At 40.1% G+C, this 19,887-nt stretch overlaps 1 protein-coding gene across 2 annotated transcripts in view; it reads right to left on the minus strand.

Annotated features, from left to right (window-relative positions):
- Positions 1-19,887, minus strand: part of OR3A2 (olfactory receptor family 3 subfamily A member 2) — a 110,196-nt gene that overhangs the window by 54,841 nt on the left and 35,468 nt on the right. For both annotated transcript variants that reach the window (XM_047436157.1, NM_002551.5), the window contains exon 2: positions 5,076-5,173. The gene's annotated coding sequence lies outside the window, so the exon portion shown is untranslated. The remainder of the gene's footprint in view (positions 1-5,075; positions 5,174-19,887) is intronic.

Raw genomic sequence — 19,887 nt, forward strand, 5'->3', positions numbered from 1 at the left:
TTTCTCCTTCACTTATGAAGCTTAGTTTGGCTGGATATGAAATTCTGGGTTGAAAATTCTTTTCTTTAAGAATGTTGACTATTGGCCCCCACTCTCTTCTGGCTTGTAGGGTTTCTGCCGAGAGATCAGCTGTTAGTCTGATGGGCTTCCCTTTGAGGGTAACCCGACCTTTCTCTCTGGCTGCCCTTAACATTTTTTCCTTCATTGTTCAACTTCGGTGAATCTGACAATTATGTGTCTTGGAGTTGCTCTTCTCAAGGAGTAACTTTGTGGCGTTCTCTGTATTTCCTGAATCTGAACGTTGGCCTGCCTTGCTAGATTGGGGAAGTTCTCCTGGATAACATCCTGCAGAGTGTTTTCCAACTTGGTTCCATTCTCCCCATCACTTTCAGGTACACCAATCCGACGTAGATTTGGTCTTTTCACATAGTCCCATATTTCTTGGAGGCTTTGCTCATTTCTTTTTATTCTTTTTTCTCTAAACTTCCCTTCTCACTTCATTTCATTCATTTCATCTTCCATCGCTGATACCCTTTCTTCCAGTTGATCGCATCGGCTCCTGAGGCTTCTGCATTCTTCACGTAGTTCTCGAGCCTTGGTTTTCAGCTCCATCAGCTCCTTTAAGCACTTCTCTGTATTGGTTATTCTACTTATACATTCTTCTAAATTTCTTTCAAAGTTTTCAACTTCTTTGCCTTTGGTTTGAATGTCCTCCCGTAGCTCAGAGTAATTTGATAGTCTGAAGCCTTCTTCTCTCAGCTCGTCAAAGTCATTCTCCATCCAGCTTTGTTCCATTGCTGGTGAGGAACTGCATTCCTTTGGAGGAGGAGAGGCGCTCTGCATTTTAGAGTTTCCAGTTTTTCTGTTCTGTTTTTTCCCCATCTTTGTGGTTTTATCTACTTTTTGTCTTTGATGATGGTGATGTACAGATGGGTTTTTGGTGTGGATGTCCTTTCTGTTTGTTAGTTTTCCTTCTAACAGACAGGACCCTCAGCTGCAGGTCTGTTGGAATACCCTGCCGTGTGAGATGTCAGTGTGCCCCTGCTGGGGGGTGCCTCCCAGTTAGGCTGCTCGGGGGTCAGGGGTCAGGGACCCACTTGAGGAGGCAGTCTGCCCATTCTCAGATCTCCAGCTGTGTGCTGGGAGAACCACAGCTCTCTTCAAAGCTGTCAGACAGGGACATTTAAGTCTGCAGAGGTTACTGCTGACTTTTTGTCTGTGCCCTGCCCCCAGAGGTGGAGCCTACAGAGGCAGGCAGGCCTCCTTGAGCTGTGGTGGGCTCCACCCAGTTCGAGCTTCGCGGCTGCTTTGTTTACCTAAGCAAGCCTGGGCAATGGCGGGCGCCCCTCCCCCAGCCTCGCTGCCGCCTTGCAGTTTGATCTCAGACTGCTGTGCTAGCAATCAGCGAGACTCCGTGGGCGTAGGACCCTCCGAGCCAGGTGCAGGATATAATCTCATGGTGTGCTGCAGTCCGAAAAGCGCAATATTCGGGTGGGAGTGACCTGATTTTCCAGGTGCGTCCGTCACCCCTTTCTTTGACTCAGAAAGGGAACTCCCTGACCCCTTGCACTTCCCAAGTGAGGCAATGCCTCGCCCTGCTTCAGCTGGCGCACGGTGTGCACACCCACTGACCTGCGCCCACTGTCTGGCACTCCCTAGTGAGATGAACCTGGTACCTCAGATGGAAATGCAGAAATCACCCGTCTTCTGCGTCGCTCACGCTGGGAGCTGTAGACCAGAGCTGTTCCTATTCGGCCATCTTGGCTCCTCCCCTCTTATGCCTGTCTTTACTGCAATCTCCGAACATAAATTGTGAAGATTTCATGGACATTTATCAGTTCCCAAATAATACTCTTATAATTTCTTATGCCTGTCTTTAATCTCTTAACTCTGTTATCTTTGTAAGCAGAGAATGTACGTCACCTCAGGACCACTATTGTACAAACTGATTGTAAAACGTGTGTTTGAACAATATGAAATGAGTGCACCTTGAAAAGAACAGAATAACAGCGATTTTAAGGAACAAGGGAAGACAACCATAAGATCTGACTGCCTGCAGGATTGGGCAGAATAGAGCCATATTTTTCTTCTTGCAGAGAGCCTATAAATGGACGTGCAAGTAGGAGAGATATTGCTAAATTCTTCTCCTAGCAAGGAATATTAAATATTAAGACCCTAGCAAAATAATTGCATTCCTGGGTGGAGGTCTATAAATTGCCGCTCTGGGAGCATCTGTCTTATGCAGTTGAGATAAGGACTGAAATACGCCCTGGTCTCCTGTAGTACTACCTCAGGCTTACTAGGATTGGGAAATTCCAGCCTGGTAAATTTTGGTCAGACCAGTTCTCTGCTCTCAAACCCTGTTTTCTGTTAAGGTGTTTATCAAAACAATATGTGCACAGCTGAACATAGACCCTCATCAGTAATTCTAATTTTGCCTTTGCCTTGTGATCTTTGCTTTGCCCTTTGCCTTGTGATCTTTATTGGCCTCAGAAACATGTGATCTTTGTGACCTACTCCCTGTTCGTACATCCCCTCCCCTTTTGAAATCCTTAATAAAAACTTGCTGGTTTTGCAGCTCAGGTGGACATCACGGACCTGCCAATATGTGATGTCACCCTCGGAGGCCCAGCTGTAAAATTCCTCTCTTTGTACTCTTTCTCTTTATTTCTCAGACTGGCCAACACTTAGGGAAAATAGAAAGAACCTGCATTGAAATATTGGGGGCATGTTCCCCCAATAAAAGATTTTATGACAAAAATGCCAAAAGCAATTGCAACAAAAGAAAAAATTGACAAAAGGGAGGCAATTAAACTAAAGAGCTTCTGCACAGCAAGATAAACTATCATCAGAGTGAACAGACAACCTACAGAATGGGAGAAAAATTTTCCAGTCTATCCATCTGAAAAAGGTCTAATATCCAGAGTCTACAAGGAACTTAAACAAATTTACAAGAAAAAAACAACCAACCCCATCAAAAAGTGGGCAAAGGACATGAACAGACACTTCTCAAAAGAAGACATTCATGCCGCCAAAAACATATGAAAAAAAGCTCAACATCACTGATCATTAGAGAAATGTAAATCAAAACCACAATTAAGATATCATCTCACACCAGTCAGAATGGCAATTACTAAAAAGTCAAGAAACAACAGATGCTGGCGAGGTTGCAGAGAAAAAGGAGCGCTTTTACATTGTTAGTGGGAGTGTAAATTAGTTCAACTACTGTGGAAGACAGTATGGCGATTCCTCAGAGATCTAGAAGCAGAAATACCATCTTTACTATTTTTAAGTGTACAATTCAGTGGTAACATTTATATTCTTTTGTTTTCTCTTCATCCCCTGCCTTCCACCTACCATTCCTGGCCTCTGGTAACCACTATTCTACTATCGTCATGAAAAACACTATTATTAGCTTCCACATATGAGTGAGAACATGCAACATTTGTCTTTCTTTGCTTGGCTAATTTCACCTAACATAATGACCCCCAGTTCCATCATGTTGCTGCAAATGACAGAATTTCGTTCTTCTATATGGCTGAATAATATTCCATCACTGTAGATTTACAATACATATTCATGCCTCATTCTGGAAATTTCCGTCATTACTCTCTTTCCTCCCAAATGTTTTTGACTGCTCTCACATGTTTTCTCTTCCAGGTTGACTATAGAATTATTTTTGCTGATTGAGTTTTTCTACCATTGGGATTTTAAGCAGAACTGGGTTAAATTTATAGATTGATTTCAGAAGAATTGACAGCCTTACAATATTAGATCTTTCCATATAGAGGCATACAATCATCTATCCATTTATTCAAGTGTTATTTCTAGAGAAGAGTGTCATAGGCTTTTAAAAATTAGAGTTTCTGCCTTTTTAATAAGTCTAATTCTAAATATGTAGTAAGTTTTTTAACTATTGTGAAGTGAATATTTTAATATGAGATGAATATTTTAGGGTTCTTATACATATTGCTAAACTCTTCAACAGGAAGGTGACAGTTTGTCTCCATTAGAAATCACTGTGTCCATTTCACTGTAACATCACAAGTACTAACTAGTTTTATTCATTGCTAATTTGAGAGGCAAAAGTATAACTTTACTTTGCCTTTTCTGCTTATGAGTGAAGCCATTATCTCTTATCTGTTAAATATGTTTTCATTTGTCTGTTTGTAAATTGCCTTTATGTTCTTGGCTTATGTATTCACCAGTATCTCAGTGTTTTCATATGCATTTCTTAGATCTTTACATGGTAAAAATATTAACCTTTTCATATTTTCTGCAAATATTTCTCCAAGTCTGTTTTTTGCCTTTTAACTTGGTTAACTTTTCCATAAATTTTAAAAAATGTTTATGCAGTCAAATCTGTTGATATTTCTTTGTGCCTTCTTCCTTTTCTTGTATGCCTGGAATATTAATCTAGCCTTTCTTTTGATACATTTTATAAATATATGTATCCAAGAGGGATTTTTCCAATGAATAATCAATTACCTCAACACTATGTATTGAGTATTTCACTCCCTGCCCCACCCCTACTGATTTGTGGTATTTAATTTATGCATATATTAAATTATTTTAAGTTTAAAAATGTGTTTCTGATCTGCATCTTCCATTCCATCAATTTTCTATTCCTAAATCACTATGGCTCAAATTGTTACACAATAACAATCACCCCCACACATTTCCAGTCATTTAGACACCAGCCAGAGACTACACTTTACATACATTATCTCATTTAACTCTTCGAACAAAAGTCCCATGAGGCAAATGTTAGAATTTTCATTTTATAGATGAAGAAAGCCCCAGGAAGAAAAAGTCTGACAGAGAACACATTCCAGCTTTGTCTTCATTCTTTTTCCCAGTTTGTTTAAGAATACACCACCTGGCTTCTCTCAATCCAATTTTTCTTACTTAGTGCCCATGCATACCTCCTACCACCTCCTAATTTGGATTCAGGGTCAGATCAGCCAAACAACTGACAAGGTGCCAACACATAACAAGTGCTAAAATGTCACTGCAACATTTCCACTCTGATTTACTCACGCAACTCCTTTCATAACTGGCAAATGCAAACTTACAAACCATTCCTGCCGGAACACGCAGAGCCCTCCAGTGGAAGTTTCAGAAACTCTCCTTGCCAACGCTGCCTATCTTCATTCAACATTTTGTGGCATGTCTGTGGAAATAATGACAGGTCATCAGCCCTGCCATCAGCCAAGCATTCACTAGTCATCCAAATACAACAGGTGATGTAGGCTAAAATTCTAAAACTGAACAACTCACAGTACAGTGCTTTTCAGTGATGATAATTCATTTTTTCCCTATTGTCTAAATTTTAAACATTTTAATCTGTACCTTGAAAAGTTATCTGGTTTAAAAAATCACAAAAGAAAACTGAAGACAGGATAAATGGAAAGTGTTTTGCTGATGTGAATGCCAGGAAAACAATAATTTTCATACATATTTTGACAAAATTTTAGAACTATATTTATATAAACTTTATGTGTAAGAAGTGTAACTAATGATAGATACAAATAGTGGAAAAAACATTAAATAAAAGAATTTCAAATAAACTTAGATGTTATGTTCAGTGTAACTACTAAATCCATTAATGGTAGCCAACCAAGAGAGATGTGCAATTATTAATTGAAAATCTACTTCATGCTCTACAATAAATATTTGAATAAATGTATAAAGAATATCAATTTGAAGATGTATCCAAATCTTACACTGTCTGGGTTGCCAGACACCATACTTTAGCTGCGCTCATACCTGAGATGTCCTCTTAACTCTTTCCCCTCTAGACTAGACAGACTTCTCCACAAAATCAAGAAATTGGGTATCATTTTTTAAAAAAACTTCCTCAGAACCCAGCACACATGATCACCATCAATTAATGTTTTCTGAGTAAACAAACGCTGCATCCCTCCTCACTCCTACCTAACCCCAATTTAGCTCCTCTTCAGAAAGACCAGTTCTTCCACCCCTTTGACTGTGTTCTCCATCTTATGGAAGATAATTACACAGAAAACAAAAGATTCACCCTAGGTGAGCTATGCACATGGGTTCCGATATCTGTGTCTAATTTCATACCTCTTTCTGCTTCCAAACCCAAAATGGACATTCAGGTCCCAGGAAGCAAGGCCCACACTTCCTTATATGAAATTCTTTTTATTTAACCTTCATTTTTTATTTTAGTAAAATATGCATAACATAAAATGTATCATTTAACCATTTTAAGGGTACAGTTCAGTAGGATTAAGTATATTCACTTTTTTGTGCAACCTCACTACTATCGTTCTCCAGAACTTCTTCATGTGCACTTTTTAAAATTATTATTGTACTTTAAGTTCTAGGGTACATGTGCACAACGTGCAGGTTTGTTATATATGTATACATGTGCCATGTTGGTTTGCTGCACCCATTAACTCATCATTTACATTAGGTATATCTCCTAATGTCATCCCTCCCCCATCCCCCAACCCCACGAGAGGCCCCGGTGTGTGATGTTCCCCGCCCTGTGTCCAAGTGTTCTCATTGTTCATTTCTCACATATGAGTGAGAACATGTAGTGCTTGGTTTTCTGTCCTTGCGATAGTTTACTGAGAATGACGGTTTCCAGCTTCATCCATGTCCTTACAAAGGACATGAACTCATCATTTTTTATGGCTGCATAGTATTCCATGGTGTAAATGTGCCACATTTTCTTAATCCAGTCTATCACTGATGGACATTTGGGTTGGTTCCAAGTCTTTGGTATTGTGAATAGTGCCACAATAAACATACGTGTGCATGTGTCTTTATAGCAGCATGATTTATAGTCCTTGGGGTATATACCCAGTAATGGGATGGCTGGGTCAAATGGTATTTCTAGTTCTAGATCCTTGAGGAATCGCCATACTGTCTTCCACAATGGTTGAACTAGTTTACAGTCCCACCAACAGTGTAAAAGTGTTCCTATTTCTCCACATCCTTTCCAGCGCCTGTTGTTTCCTAACTTTTTAATGATCGCCATTCTAACTGGTGTGAGATGGTATCTCATTGTGGTTTTGATTTGCATTTCTCTGATGGCCAGTGATGATGAACATTTTTTCACGTGCTGTTGGCTGCATAAATGTCTTCTTTTGAAAAGTGTCCATTCATATGCTTTGCCCACTTTTTGATGGGGTTAATTTTTTTCTTGTAACTTTGTTTAAGTTCTTTGTAGATTCTGGACATTAGCCCTTTGTCAGATGGGTAGATTGCAAAAATTTTCTCCCATTCTGTAGGTTGCCTGTTCACTCTGATGGTAGTTTCTTTTGCTGTGCAGAAGCTCTTCAGTTTAATTAGATCCCATTTGTCTATTTTGGCTTTTGTTGCCATTGCTTTTGGTGTTTCAGTCATGAAGTCCTTGCCCATGCCTATATCTTGAATGCTATTGCCTAGGTTTTCTTCTAGGGTTTTTATGGTTTTAGGCCTAATATTTAAGTCTTTAATCCATCTTGAATTAATTTTTGTATAAAGTGTAAGGAAGGGATCCAGTTTCAGCTTTCTACATATGGCTAGCCAGTTTTCTCAGCACCATTTATTAAATAGGGAATCCTTTCCCCATTTCCTGTTTTTGTCAGGTTTATCAAAGATCAGATGGTTGTAGACGTGTGGTGTTATTTCTGGGCCTCTGTTGTGTTCCATTGGTCCATATCTTTGTTTTGGTACCAGTACCATGCTGTTTTGGTTACTGCAGCCGTGTAGTATAGTTTGAAGTCAGGTAGCATGATGCTTCCAGGTTTGTTCCTTTTGCTTAGGATTCTCTTGGCAATGCAGGCTCTTTTTTGGTTCCATATGAACTTTAAAGTAGTTTTTTCCAATTCTGTGAAGAAAGTCATTGGTAGCTGATAGGGGCATTGAATCTGTAGATTACCTTGGACAGTATGGCCATTTTCACAATATTGATTCTTCCTATCCATGAGCATGGAATGTTCTTCCATTTGCTTCTGTCCTCTTTTATTTTGTTGAGCAGTGGTTTGTAGCTCTCCTTGAAGAGGTCCTTCACAACCTTTGTAAGTTGGATTCCTAGGTATTTGATCCTCTTTGTAGCAGTTGTGATTTGGAGTTCACTTATGATTTGGCTCTCTGTTTGTCTGTTATTGGTGTATAAGAATGCTTATGATTTTTGCACATTGATTTTGTATCCTGAGACTTTGCTGAAGTTGCTTATCAGCTTAAGGAGATTTTGGGCTGAGATGAAGGGGTTTTCTAAATATATAATCATGTCCTCTGCAAACAGGAAGACTTTTACTTCCTCTTTTCCCAATTGAATACACTTTATTTCTTTCTCCTGCCTGACTGCCCTAGCAAAGAACTTTCAACACTATGTTCAATAGGAGTGGTGAGAGAGGGCATCCATGTCTTGTGCCAGTTTTCAAAGGGAATACTTCCAGTTTTTGCCCATTCAGAATGATACTGGCTGTGGGTTTATCATAAATAGCTCTTATCTCTTATTATTTTGAGATACGTTCCATCAGTACCTAGCTTATTGAGTTTTTAGCATGAAAGGATGTTGAATTTTGTCAAAGGCCTTTTCTGCATCTATTGAGAAAATCATGTGGTTTTTGTCTTTGATTCTGTTTATGTGATGGATTACATTTATTGACTTGCATATGTTGAACCAGCCTTGCATCCCAGGGATGAAGCCAACTTGATCTTGGTGGATAAGCTTTTTGATGTGCTGCTGGATTCAGTTTGCCAGTATTTTATTGAGGATTTTTGCATCAATGTTCATCAGGGATATTGGTCTAAAATTCTTTTTTTGTTGTGTCTCTACCAGGCTTTGGAATCAGGATGATGCTGGCCTCATAAAATGAGTTAGGGTGGATTCCCTCTTTTTCTATTGATTGGAATAGTTTCAGAAGGAATGGTACCAGCTCCTCTTTGTACTTCGGGTAGAATTCAGCTGTGAATCTGTCTGGTCCTGGACTTTTTTTGGTTGGTAGGCTATTAATTATTGCCTCAATTTCAGAGCCTGTTATTGGTCTATTCAGAGATTCAACTTCTTCCTGGTTTAGTCTTGGGAAGGTGTATGTGTCCAGAAATTTATCCATTTCTTCTAGATTTTGTAGTTCATTTGTGTAGAGGTGTTTATAGTATTCTCTGATGGTGGTTTGTATTTCTGTGAGATCAGTGGTGATATCCCCTTTATTATTTTTTATTACATCTATTTGATTCTTCTCTCTTCTTATTAGTCTTGCTAGCGGTCTATCAATTTTATTGATCTTTTCAAAAAAACAGCTCCTGGATTCACTGATTTTTTTGAAGGGTTTTTTGTGTCTCTATCTCCTTCAGTTCTGCTCTGATTTTAGTTATTTCTTGCCTTCTGCTAGCTTTTGAATGTGTTTGCTCTTGCTTCTCTAGTTCTTTTCATTGTGATGTTAGGGTGTCAATTTTAGATCTTTCCTGCTTTCTCTTGTGGGCACTTAGTGCTATAAATTTCCCTTTACACACTGCTTTAAATGTGTCCCAGAGATTCTGGTACGTTGTGTCTTTGTTCTCATTGGTTTCAAAGAACATCTTTATTTCTGCCTTCATTTCATGATTTATCCAGTAGTCATTCAGGAGCAGGTTGTTCAGTTTCCATGTACTTGTGTGGTTTTGAGTGAGTTTCTTAATCTTGAATTCTAATTTGATTGCACTGTGGTCAGAGAGTTTGTTGTGATTTCTGTCCTTTTACATTTGCTGAGGAGTGCTTTACTTCCAACTATGTGGTCAATTTTGGAATAAGTGCAATGTGGTGCTGAGAAGAATGTATATTCTGTTGACTTGGGGTGGGAGAGTTCTGTAGATGTCTATTAGGTCCATTTGGTGCAGAGCTGAGTTCAATTCCTGGATATCCTTGTTAACCTTCTGTCTTGTTGATCTGTCTAATGTTGACAGTGGGGTGTTAAAGTCTCCCATTATTAAAGTGTGGGAGTCTAAGTCTCTTTGTAGATCTCTCAGGACTTGCTTTATGAATCTGGGTGCTCCTGTATTGGGTGCATATATATTTAGGATAGTTAGCTCTTCTTGTTGAATTGATCCCTTTACCATTATGTAATGGCCTTCTTTGTCTCTTTTGATCTTTGTTGGTTTAAAGTCTGTCTTATCAGAGACTAGAATTGCAACCCCTGCTTGTTTTTTGCTTTCCATTTGCTTGGTAGATCTTCCTCCATCCCTTTATTTTGAGCCCATGTGTGTCTCTGCCCATGAGATGGGTCACCTGAATACAGCACACTGATGGGTCTTGACTCTTTATTCAATTTGCCAGTCTGTGTCCTTTAATTGGGGCATTTAGCTCATTTACATTTAAGGTTAATGTTATGTGTGAATTTGATTCTGTCATTATGATGTTAGCTGGTGATTTTGCCCGTTAATTGATGCAGTTTCTTCCTAGCATTGATGGTCTTTACAATTTGGCATGTTTCTGCAGTGGCTAGTACCGGTTTTTCCTTTCCACGTTTAGTGTTTCCTTCAGGAGCTCTTGTTAGGCAGGCCTGGTGGTGACAAAATCTCTCAGCATTTGCTTGTCTGTAAAGGATTTTATTTCTCCTTCACTTATGAAGCTTAGTTTGGCTAGATATGAAATTCTGGGTTGAAAATTCTTTTCTTTAAGAATGTTGAATATTGGCCCCCACTCTCTTCTGGCTTGTAGAGTTTCTGCTGAGAGATCCACTGTTAGTCTGATGGGCTTCCCTTTGTGGGTAACCCGACCTTTCTCTCTGGCTGCCCTTAACATTTTTTCTTTCATTTCAACCTTGGTGAATCTGACAATTATGTGTCTTGGAGTTGCTCTTCTGGAGGAGTATCTTTGTGGTGTTCTCTGTATTTCCTGAATTTGAATTTTGGACTGCCTTGCTAGGTTGGGGAAGTTCTCCTGGATAATATCTTGAAGAGTGTTTTCCAGCTTCGTTCCATTTTCCACATCACTTTCAGGTACACCAATCAAATGTAGATTTTGTCTTTTCACATAGTCCCATATTTCTTGAAGGCTTTGTTCGTTTCTTTTTACTCTTTTTTCTCTAAACTTCTCTTCTTGCTTTATTTCATTAATTTGATCTTCAATCACTAATACTCTTTCTTCCACTTGATCAAATCGGCTACTGAAGCTTGTGCATGCGTCACGTAGTTCTTGTGTCACGGTTTTCAGCTCCATCAGGTCATTTAAAGTCTTCTCTACACTGTTTATTCTAGTTAGCCATTTGTCTAATCTTTTTTCAAGGTTTTTAGCTTCCTTGCAATGGGTTCAAACACCCTCCTTTAGCTCAGAGAAGTTTGTTATTACCGACTTTCTGAAGCCTACTTCTGTCAACTCGTCAAAGTCATTCTCTGTCCAGCTTTGTTCTGTTGCTGGCGAGGAGCTGCAATCCTTTGGAGGAGAAGAGGAGCTCTGGTTTTTAGAATTTTCAGCTTTTCTCCTCTGGTTTCTCCCCATCTTTGTGGTTTTATCTACCTCTGGTCTTTGATGATGGTGACCTACAGATGGGGTTTTGGTGTGGATGTCCTTTTTGTTGATGTTGATGCTATTCCTTTCTGTTGTTAGTTTTCCTTCTGTCAGGTCCCTCAGCTGCAGGTCTGTTAGAGTTTGCCGGAAGTCCACTCCAGACCGTTTGCCTGGGTGTCACCAGTGGAGGCTGCAGAAGGGCAAATATTGCAGAACAGCAAATATTGCTGCCCGATCCTTCCTCTGGAAGCTTCGTCTCAGAGGGCCACCTGGCTGTATGAGGTGTCAGTCAGCCCTACTGGGAGGTGTCTCCAAGTTAGGCTACCTGGGGGTCAGGGACCCACTTGACGAGGCAGTCTGTCCATTCTCAGAGCTCAAACACCATGATGGGAGAACCACTGCTCTCTTCAGAGCTGTCAGACAGGGACGTTTAAGTCTGCAGAAGTTTCTGCTGCCTTTTGTTCAGCTATGCCCTGCCCCCAGAGGTGGAGTGCACAGAGGCAGGCGGGCCTCGTTGGCTTCCTGGCCGCTGTGTTTACCTACTCTAGCCTCAGCAATGGTGGACGCCCCTCCTCCAGCCAGGCTTGCCGCCTTGCAGTTCGATCTTGGACTGCTGCGCTAGCAGTGAGCAAGGCTCCGTGGGCATGGGACTCACTGAGCCAGGCACGGGATATAATCTCCTGGTGTGCCATTTGCTAAGACCTCTGGAAAAGTGCAGTATCTAGGTTGCAGTGTCCCGATTTTCCCGGTACAGTCTGTCATGGCTTCCCTTGTCTAGGAAAGGGAAATCCCCTGACCCCTTGCACTTCCCAGGTGAGGCGATGCCCTGCCCTGCTTCGGCTCACCCTCTGTGGGCTGCTCCCACTGTCCAACCAGTTCCAATGAGATGAACCAGGTACCTCAGTTGGAAAAGCAGAAATCACCCATCTTCTGTGTCGATCATGCTGGAAGCTGTAGACCAGAGCTGTTCCTATTCAGCCATCTTGAAATGAACCTACTTATATGAAATTCTAATGCAAACACAATAAGAAATTGACTCACTGGCCAACATAAACTCAGTATGCCCCATCCAATATCTCATTTTGGAGAATGCTGAGATTTTAATGTGCTGCGTCTTGCTTTCACTTACTGCCATGCATCCATTTTAGAAAACAGAAAGAAACTAGAAACCATGACTTCTTTCCACCTTTAAAAAGCATTTCATGAAGAAAACTAAGCCACAAATTCAGTAATTCAGTAGTTCTGGGTGGGAAGTGGGGAAAAGAACAAGTTTGGAGGGAGTACACCCAGGAGTTGTCAGCACTGTATTGAACAGGAGTGTTCATTCAATGAAAGCTTGCTTAGTGTCATATCAACCTACTCCCATTTTTAACAGTAGTCTAGTTTTCATCCAGCCTCCACCCCTCCCTGACGTAGCCCACATGCTTTGGCAGAAGATAACTCCATCTCCCCCACCCCCTTTGCCTCATTATTTGTTCAAGTAACCTAGATTCATGCCAACCAACACTTGAAATGCTGTCCCATCACCATGGACAACCTATGTCATCAAAGAAGCAGAAGGAGGGGTCTGTGATTCTACTTTGTCTAGGAAGTTTTTCTCATTCTAATCCATGGCTTGCAATACATCTTAGTGTCATTCACCTTGTTTTGATTTTTCCACTCAGTGATATACAGGAGTGCTGTAGTGCCACATCAGTGCATATGCAGTGGGATATTCGGCTCTGTGGCATTGCCCCTTCTTTAGGTGGCATGTTACAAAAATGAGCCAAAGATGATGTCTGTGTATTGACTCTTAGGTGGTTTATTTCTTCACTGCTGGCTGAGACTTGTGAGCTAAAAAGCCTGCTTCCACCAAATTCAAATTTTTACACATCTAATTATTTTTAAATAAAAATACCCTGAAGAAGAAGATTTTCAGCAATTTAGACCTTCCTGCTTTGCGTGTCCTGTAAATATTCACCCTGCATCTGCCAACCACAAACAAGATAGCCTTGTGGTTGTAAGACTCCAGGCCACTACTGTACCTTGGAGACTCTGACCCAGAGATTCCCCACCATACAGCTAGACAATATCATCTAGACACAAAAGTCCCTCTCCGATTCCCTTCTCTTCTGGGAGTTCTCTTGCCCTCCTCCAGGAAAGGGATTTCTTTGCCTGCAAACCTGACCACTTCCCTTAATAAAGTTTGTAGGCACTACTGCCACTTATAGTCATATCCTTTTCCTTGACCATTCCCCAAATCCCTCAAACCACCTACATAACCACACTCCAATATCACTTTGAGGAACTATGCCTTCAAATCTCCTTCAGTTTATGAGCTTTGGGTGGGGCTGCACACCAAGATCTGGTCAAGCAGTATACCAAATCCTCCAGTTATAGCTTTAGGGAAGGGCATCTGACCCAAGTTGATCCAACCAAAGTGAATCCTAGGCCTCATGCTGAGCCAACTGGAGGGAATGTTCCCTGTCTCCCAAAAGCCTGTAATGGGAAGAGCAGTAGCAGCTACCTTGCCTATCAAGTCTGGAGGATCAAACAAAGTCTCTAGGACTCACTTTTGCTCCATCTCTTAGAACTGCTTTTCTCTGTGTTGGCCTCATCCTCAAGTGGGCTAAAGAGATAGAGGAAACCAAGAAGAATAAAATGATTGTTTTTTAAAAGGCAAGCAGGGGAAGATAAGATCCAGAAGACAGGTGGAGAGGTGGATCTGATGAAGAAAGGAAGGAAGGTACCACGATGCTGATGTAGGTAGGACAATAAATTCAGAGGAAAGATGTCGGTACAGGCAAATTATTAGAGGATTTATCTCTCAGGGAGCTAAGAGGAACAAATACAAGAGAAAAGACATTCATCTACTAATAGAGGTCAACCAAGTAAATAATCCGGACACATCTATTGGTCCACAAGCCTCACCCTTTCAGAGAACTTCCAATCATGTTTTTAGGACCTTTTTCTTAAATAATGAAGACAGCCAAAATCATCAGAGAGAGTACAAGACCAAAAACAAGAGAAAAAAAGGAAAGAGAGAGAGAGAGAGAGATAGAGACAGAGAGAGAGACCAAAATAAGAAACGAAACAACACAGAGGGCAGAAGAACAACAAAATTATAATAAGCAGCCTTAGAAAGTGAAATAAAATAAGAAGAGCCCATAAAAAGAAACAATATCACAAAAACAGTTCTTGAAAATGAAAAACGTGATCACAGAAATTCATTAAAATCAACAGAAGTCTTGTAGTTTAAGTTGAGAAAGTCTCCCAGAAAGTAGAGAGAAAAGAAAAATTGATGGATAATAGGAGATAAATGAATTTTTAAAAAGGCCCCAAAGTTTTAACATCTGAAGAATAAAAATTCTCTAGAAAAAGAACAAAGAAAATGGGGATGAGGGAGCACCAGAGTAATATTTTTTAAAATTTTTCCAAAAATTGAATAAAGTACCCACATTCAAAACAAAATGGATTAAAACTAAATTCACCCCAAGACAATCACTGTGAAATTTCAGATCACTAAGATCTGACAGAAGAGTCTACAAGCTTCCAAAGTGGGGATGGGGGAGAAGGGGCGTGTCAGTTTTCACATGCAAAGGATGAATGAAAGGATTTCTGCTTCTTCTAACAGCAGGCTAGGTGTTTTGTACTAAACCTTCCTCTGGGGACAATTATAAAAGCTAGACAAAATATTTTAAAATATATTTTTGAAGGCACCACAGAGCTAATAAAAAAAATTGCCAGGACAGGACATTTCACTTAACATAATGTCCTCCATGTGCATCCATGTTGTCACAAATGACAGGACTTCTTACTTTTTAAGGCTGAATAGCATTCTGTGTGGTATATATACTATATTTTCTTTTTAATTTTTATGGGTACATGGTAGGTGTACATATTTATAAGTACATGAGATATTTTGATATAGGCAGGCAATGTGTGCAAATTACATCCTGAAAAATGGGAAGGGCATCTGACCCAAGTTGATCCAACCAGAGTGAATCCTAGGCCTCATGCTGAGCCAACTGGAGGGAATGTTCCCTGTTTTCCAAGAGCCTGTAATGGGAACAGCAGTAGCAGCCACCTTGCCTATCAGCCTATCAGCCGCCTTGCCATCCCCTCCAGCATTTGTCCTTTGTGTCACAAACAATCCAATTATAGCAATTATACTATTTCAGTTATTTCAAAATGTACAAACCATTATTAATTATAGTTACTCTGCTGTGCTATCAAATACTAGTTCTTATTCACTCTTTCCATGGTTTTTTTTTTTGTACCCATTATCCATCCGCACCTCTCCATCTCAGCCCCCAACTGTCCTTCCCAGCCTCTGCTCTTCTACTCACTATGGTTATGAGGTCAATTGTTTTGATTTTTAGATCCCACAAATAAGTGAGAACACATGATGTTTGACTTCCTGTGCCTGGCTTATTCACTCAATATAAGGACCTCCAGTTCCATCCATGTTTTTGCAAATGACTGACTCTCATTTTTTATGGCTGAATAGTACTCCATTGTGTATATGCACCACATTTTCTTTATCCATTTGTCTGTTGATGGACACTTAGGTTGCCTCCCAAAGCTTGGCTATTGTGCACAGTGCTGCAACGAACATGGGAGAGCAGATCTCTCTTTGATATATTGATTTTCTTTCATTTTGATATATACGTAGCAGCGAGACTGCTGGATCATAGGATAGCTCTATTTCTACTTTATTGAGGAACCTCCAAGCTGTTCTCCATAGTGGCTGTACTAATTTACATTTCTACCAATGGTGTATAAGGGTTCCCTTTTCTCCACAACTCAATGATGTTGAGTACCTTTTCATATGTCTGTTTGCCATTTGTATGTCTTCTTTTTTTTTTTATCATTATTATACTTTAAGTTTTAGGGTACATGTGCACAATATGCAGGTTAGTTACATATGTATACATGTGCCATTCTGGTGCGCTGCACCCACTAACTCATCTTCTAGCATTAGGTATATCTCCCAATGCTATCCCTCCCCTCTCCCCCGGCCCCACAACAGTCCCCAGAGTGTGATGTTCCCCTTCCTGTGTCCATGTGTTCTCATAGTTCAATTCCCACCTATGAGTGAGAACATGCGGTGTTTGGTTTTTTGTTCTTGCAATAGTTTACTGAGAATGATGGTTTCCAATTTCATCCATGTCCCTACAAAGGACATGAACTCATCATTTTTTAAGGCTGCATAGTATTCCATGGTGTATATCTGCCACATTTTCTTAATCCAGTCTATCATTGTTGGACATTTGGGTTGGTTCCAAGTCCTTGCTATTGTGAATAATGCCGCAATAAACATACGTGTGCATGTGTCTTTATAGAAGCATGATTTATAGTCCTTTGGGTATATACCCAGTAATGGGATGGCTGGGTCAAATACTATGTCTAGTTCTAGATCCCTGAGGAATCGTCACACTGACTTCCACAATGGTTGAACTAGATTACAGTCCCACCAACAGTGTAAAAGTGTTCCTATTTCTCCACATCCTCTCCAGCACCTATTGCTTCCTGACTTTTTAATGATTGCCATTCTAACTGGTGTGAAATGGTATCTCATTGTGGTTTTGATTTGCATTTCTCTGATGGCCAGTGATGGTGAGCATTTTTTCATGTGTTTTTTGGCTGCATAAATGTCTTCTTTTGAGAAGTGTCTGTTCACGTCCTTTGCCCACTTTTTGATGGGGTTGTTTGTTTTTTTCTTGTAAATTTGTTTGAGTTCATTGTAGATTCTGGATATTAGCCCGTTGTCAGATGAGTAGGTTGTGAAAATTTTCTCCCATTTTGTAGGTTGCCTGTTCACTCTGATGGTAGTTTCTTTTGCTGTGCAGAAGCTCTTTAGTTTAATTAGATCCCATTTATCCATTTTGGCTTTTGTTGCCATTGCTTTTGGTGTTTTAGACATGAAGTCCTTGCCCATGCCTATGTCCTGAATGGTAATGCCTAGGTTTTCTTCTAGGGTTTTCATGGTTTTAGATCTAACGAAGCCTCAGGAGCCGATGCGATCAACTGGAAGAAAGGGTATCAGTGATGGAAGATGAAATGAATGAAATGAAGCGAGAAGGGAAGTTTAGAGAAAAAAGAATAAAAAGAAACGAGCAAAGCCTCCAAGAAATATGGGACTATGTGAAAAGACAAAATCTACATCTCACTGATGTACCTGAAAGTGACGGGGAGAATGGAACCAAGTTGGAAAACACTCTGCAGGATATTATCCAGGAGAACTTCCCCAATCTAGCAAGGCAGGCCAACATTCAGATTCAGGAAATACAGACAACACCACAAAGATACTCCTCGAGAAGAGCAACTCCAAAATACATAATTGTCAGATTCACCAAAGTTGAAATGAAGGAAAAAAATGTTAAGGGCAGCCAGAGAGAAAGGTCGGGTTACCCACAAAGGGAAGCCCATCAGATTAACAGCAGATCTCTCGGCAGAAACTCTACCAGCCAGAAGAGAGTGGGGGCCAATATTCAACATTCTTAAGGAAAAGAATTTTCAACCCAGAATTTCATATCCAGCCAAACTAAGCTTCATAAGTGAAGGAGAAATAAAATACTTTACAGACAAGCAAATGCTGAGAGATTTTGTCGCCACCAGGCCTGCACTAAAAGAGTTCCTGAAGGAAGTGCTAAACATGGAAAGGAACAACCGGTACCAGCTGCTGCAAAATCATGCCAAAATGTAAAGACCATTGAGACTAGGAAGAAACCGCATCAACTAACGTGCAAAATCACCAGCTAACATCATAATGACAAGATCAAATTCACACATAACAATATTAACTTTAAATGTAAATGGACTAAATGCTCCAATTAAAAGACACAGACTGGCAAATTGGATAAAGAGTCAAGACCCATCGGTGTGCTGTATTCAGGAAACCCATCTCACGGGCAGAGACACACATAGACTCAAAATAAAAGGATGGAGGAAGATGTACCAAGCAAATGGAAAACAAAAAAAGGCAGGGGTTGCAATCCTAGTCTCTGATAAAACAGACTTTAAACCAACAAAGATCAAAAGAGACAAAGAAGGCCATTACATAATGGTAAAGGGATCAATTCAACAAGAAGAGCTAACTATCCTAAATATATATGCACCCAATACAGGAGCACCCAAATTCATACAGCAAGTCCTGAGTGATCTACAAAGAGACTTAGACTCCCACACATTAATAATAGGAGACTTTAACACCCCACTGTCAACATCAGACAGATCAACGAGACAGAAAGTCAACAAGGATACCCAGGAATTGAACTCAGCTCTGCACCAAGCAGACCTAATAGACATCTACAGAACTCTCCACCCCAAATCAACAGAATATACATTTTTTTCAGCACCACACCACACCTATTCCAAAATTGACCACATACTTGGAAGTAAAGCACTCCTCAGCAAATGTAAAAGAACAGAAATTATAACAAACTATCTCTCAGACCACAGTGCAATCAAACTAGAACTCATGATTAAGAATCTCACTCAAAACCACTCAACCATATGGAAACTGAACAACCTGCTCCTGAATGACTACTGGGTACATAATGAAATGAAGGCAGAAATAAAGATGTTCTTTGAAACCAACGAGAACAAAGACACAACATACCAGAATCTCTGGGACACATTCAAAGCAGTGTGTAGAGGGAAATTTATAGCACTAAATGCCCACAAGAGAAAGCAGGAAAGATCCAAAATTGACACCCTAACATCACAATTAAAAGAACTAGAAAAGCAAGAGCAAACACTTTCAAAAGCTAGCAGAAGGCAAGAAATAACTAAAATCAGAGCAGAACTGAAGGAAATAGAGACACAAAAAACCCTTCAAAAAATTAACGAATCCAGGAGCAGGTTTTTTGAAAGGATCAACAAAATTGATAGCCTGCTAGCAAGACTAATAAAGAAAAAAAGAGATAAGAATCAAATAGATGCAATAAAAAATGATAAAGGGGATATCACCACCAATCCCACAGAAATACAAACTACCATCAGAGAATACTACAAACACCTCTACGCAAATAAACTAGAAAATCTAGAAGAAATGGATAAATTCCTCGACACATACACTCTCCCAAGACTAAACCAGGAAGAAGTTGAATCTCTGAATAGACCAATAACGGGAGCTGAAATTGTGGCAATAATCAATAGCTTACCAACCAAAAAGAGTCCAGGACCAGATGGATTCACAGCCGAATTCTACCAGAGGTACAAGGAGGAACAGGTACCATTCCTTCTGAAACTATTCCAATCAATAGAAAAAGAGGGAATCCTCCCTAACTCATTTTATGAGGCCAGCATCATCCTGATACCAAAGCCGGGCAGAGACACAACCAAAAGAGAGAATTTTAGACCAATATCCTTGATGAACATTGATGCAAAAATCCTCAATAAAATACTGGCAAACCGAATCCAGCAGCACATCAAAAAGCTTATCCACCATGATC

This window comes from Homo sapiens, chromosome 17 (assembly GCF_000001405.40).
Source record: "Homo sapiens chromosome 17, GRCh38.p14 Primary Assembly".
Lineage (NCBI taxonomy): Eukaryota > Metazoa > Chordata > Mammalia > Primates > Hominidae > Homo > Homo sapiens.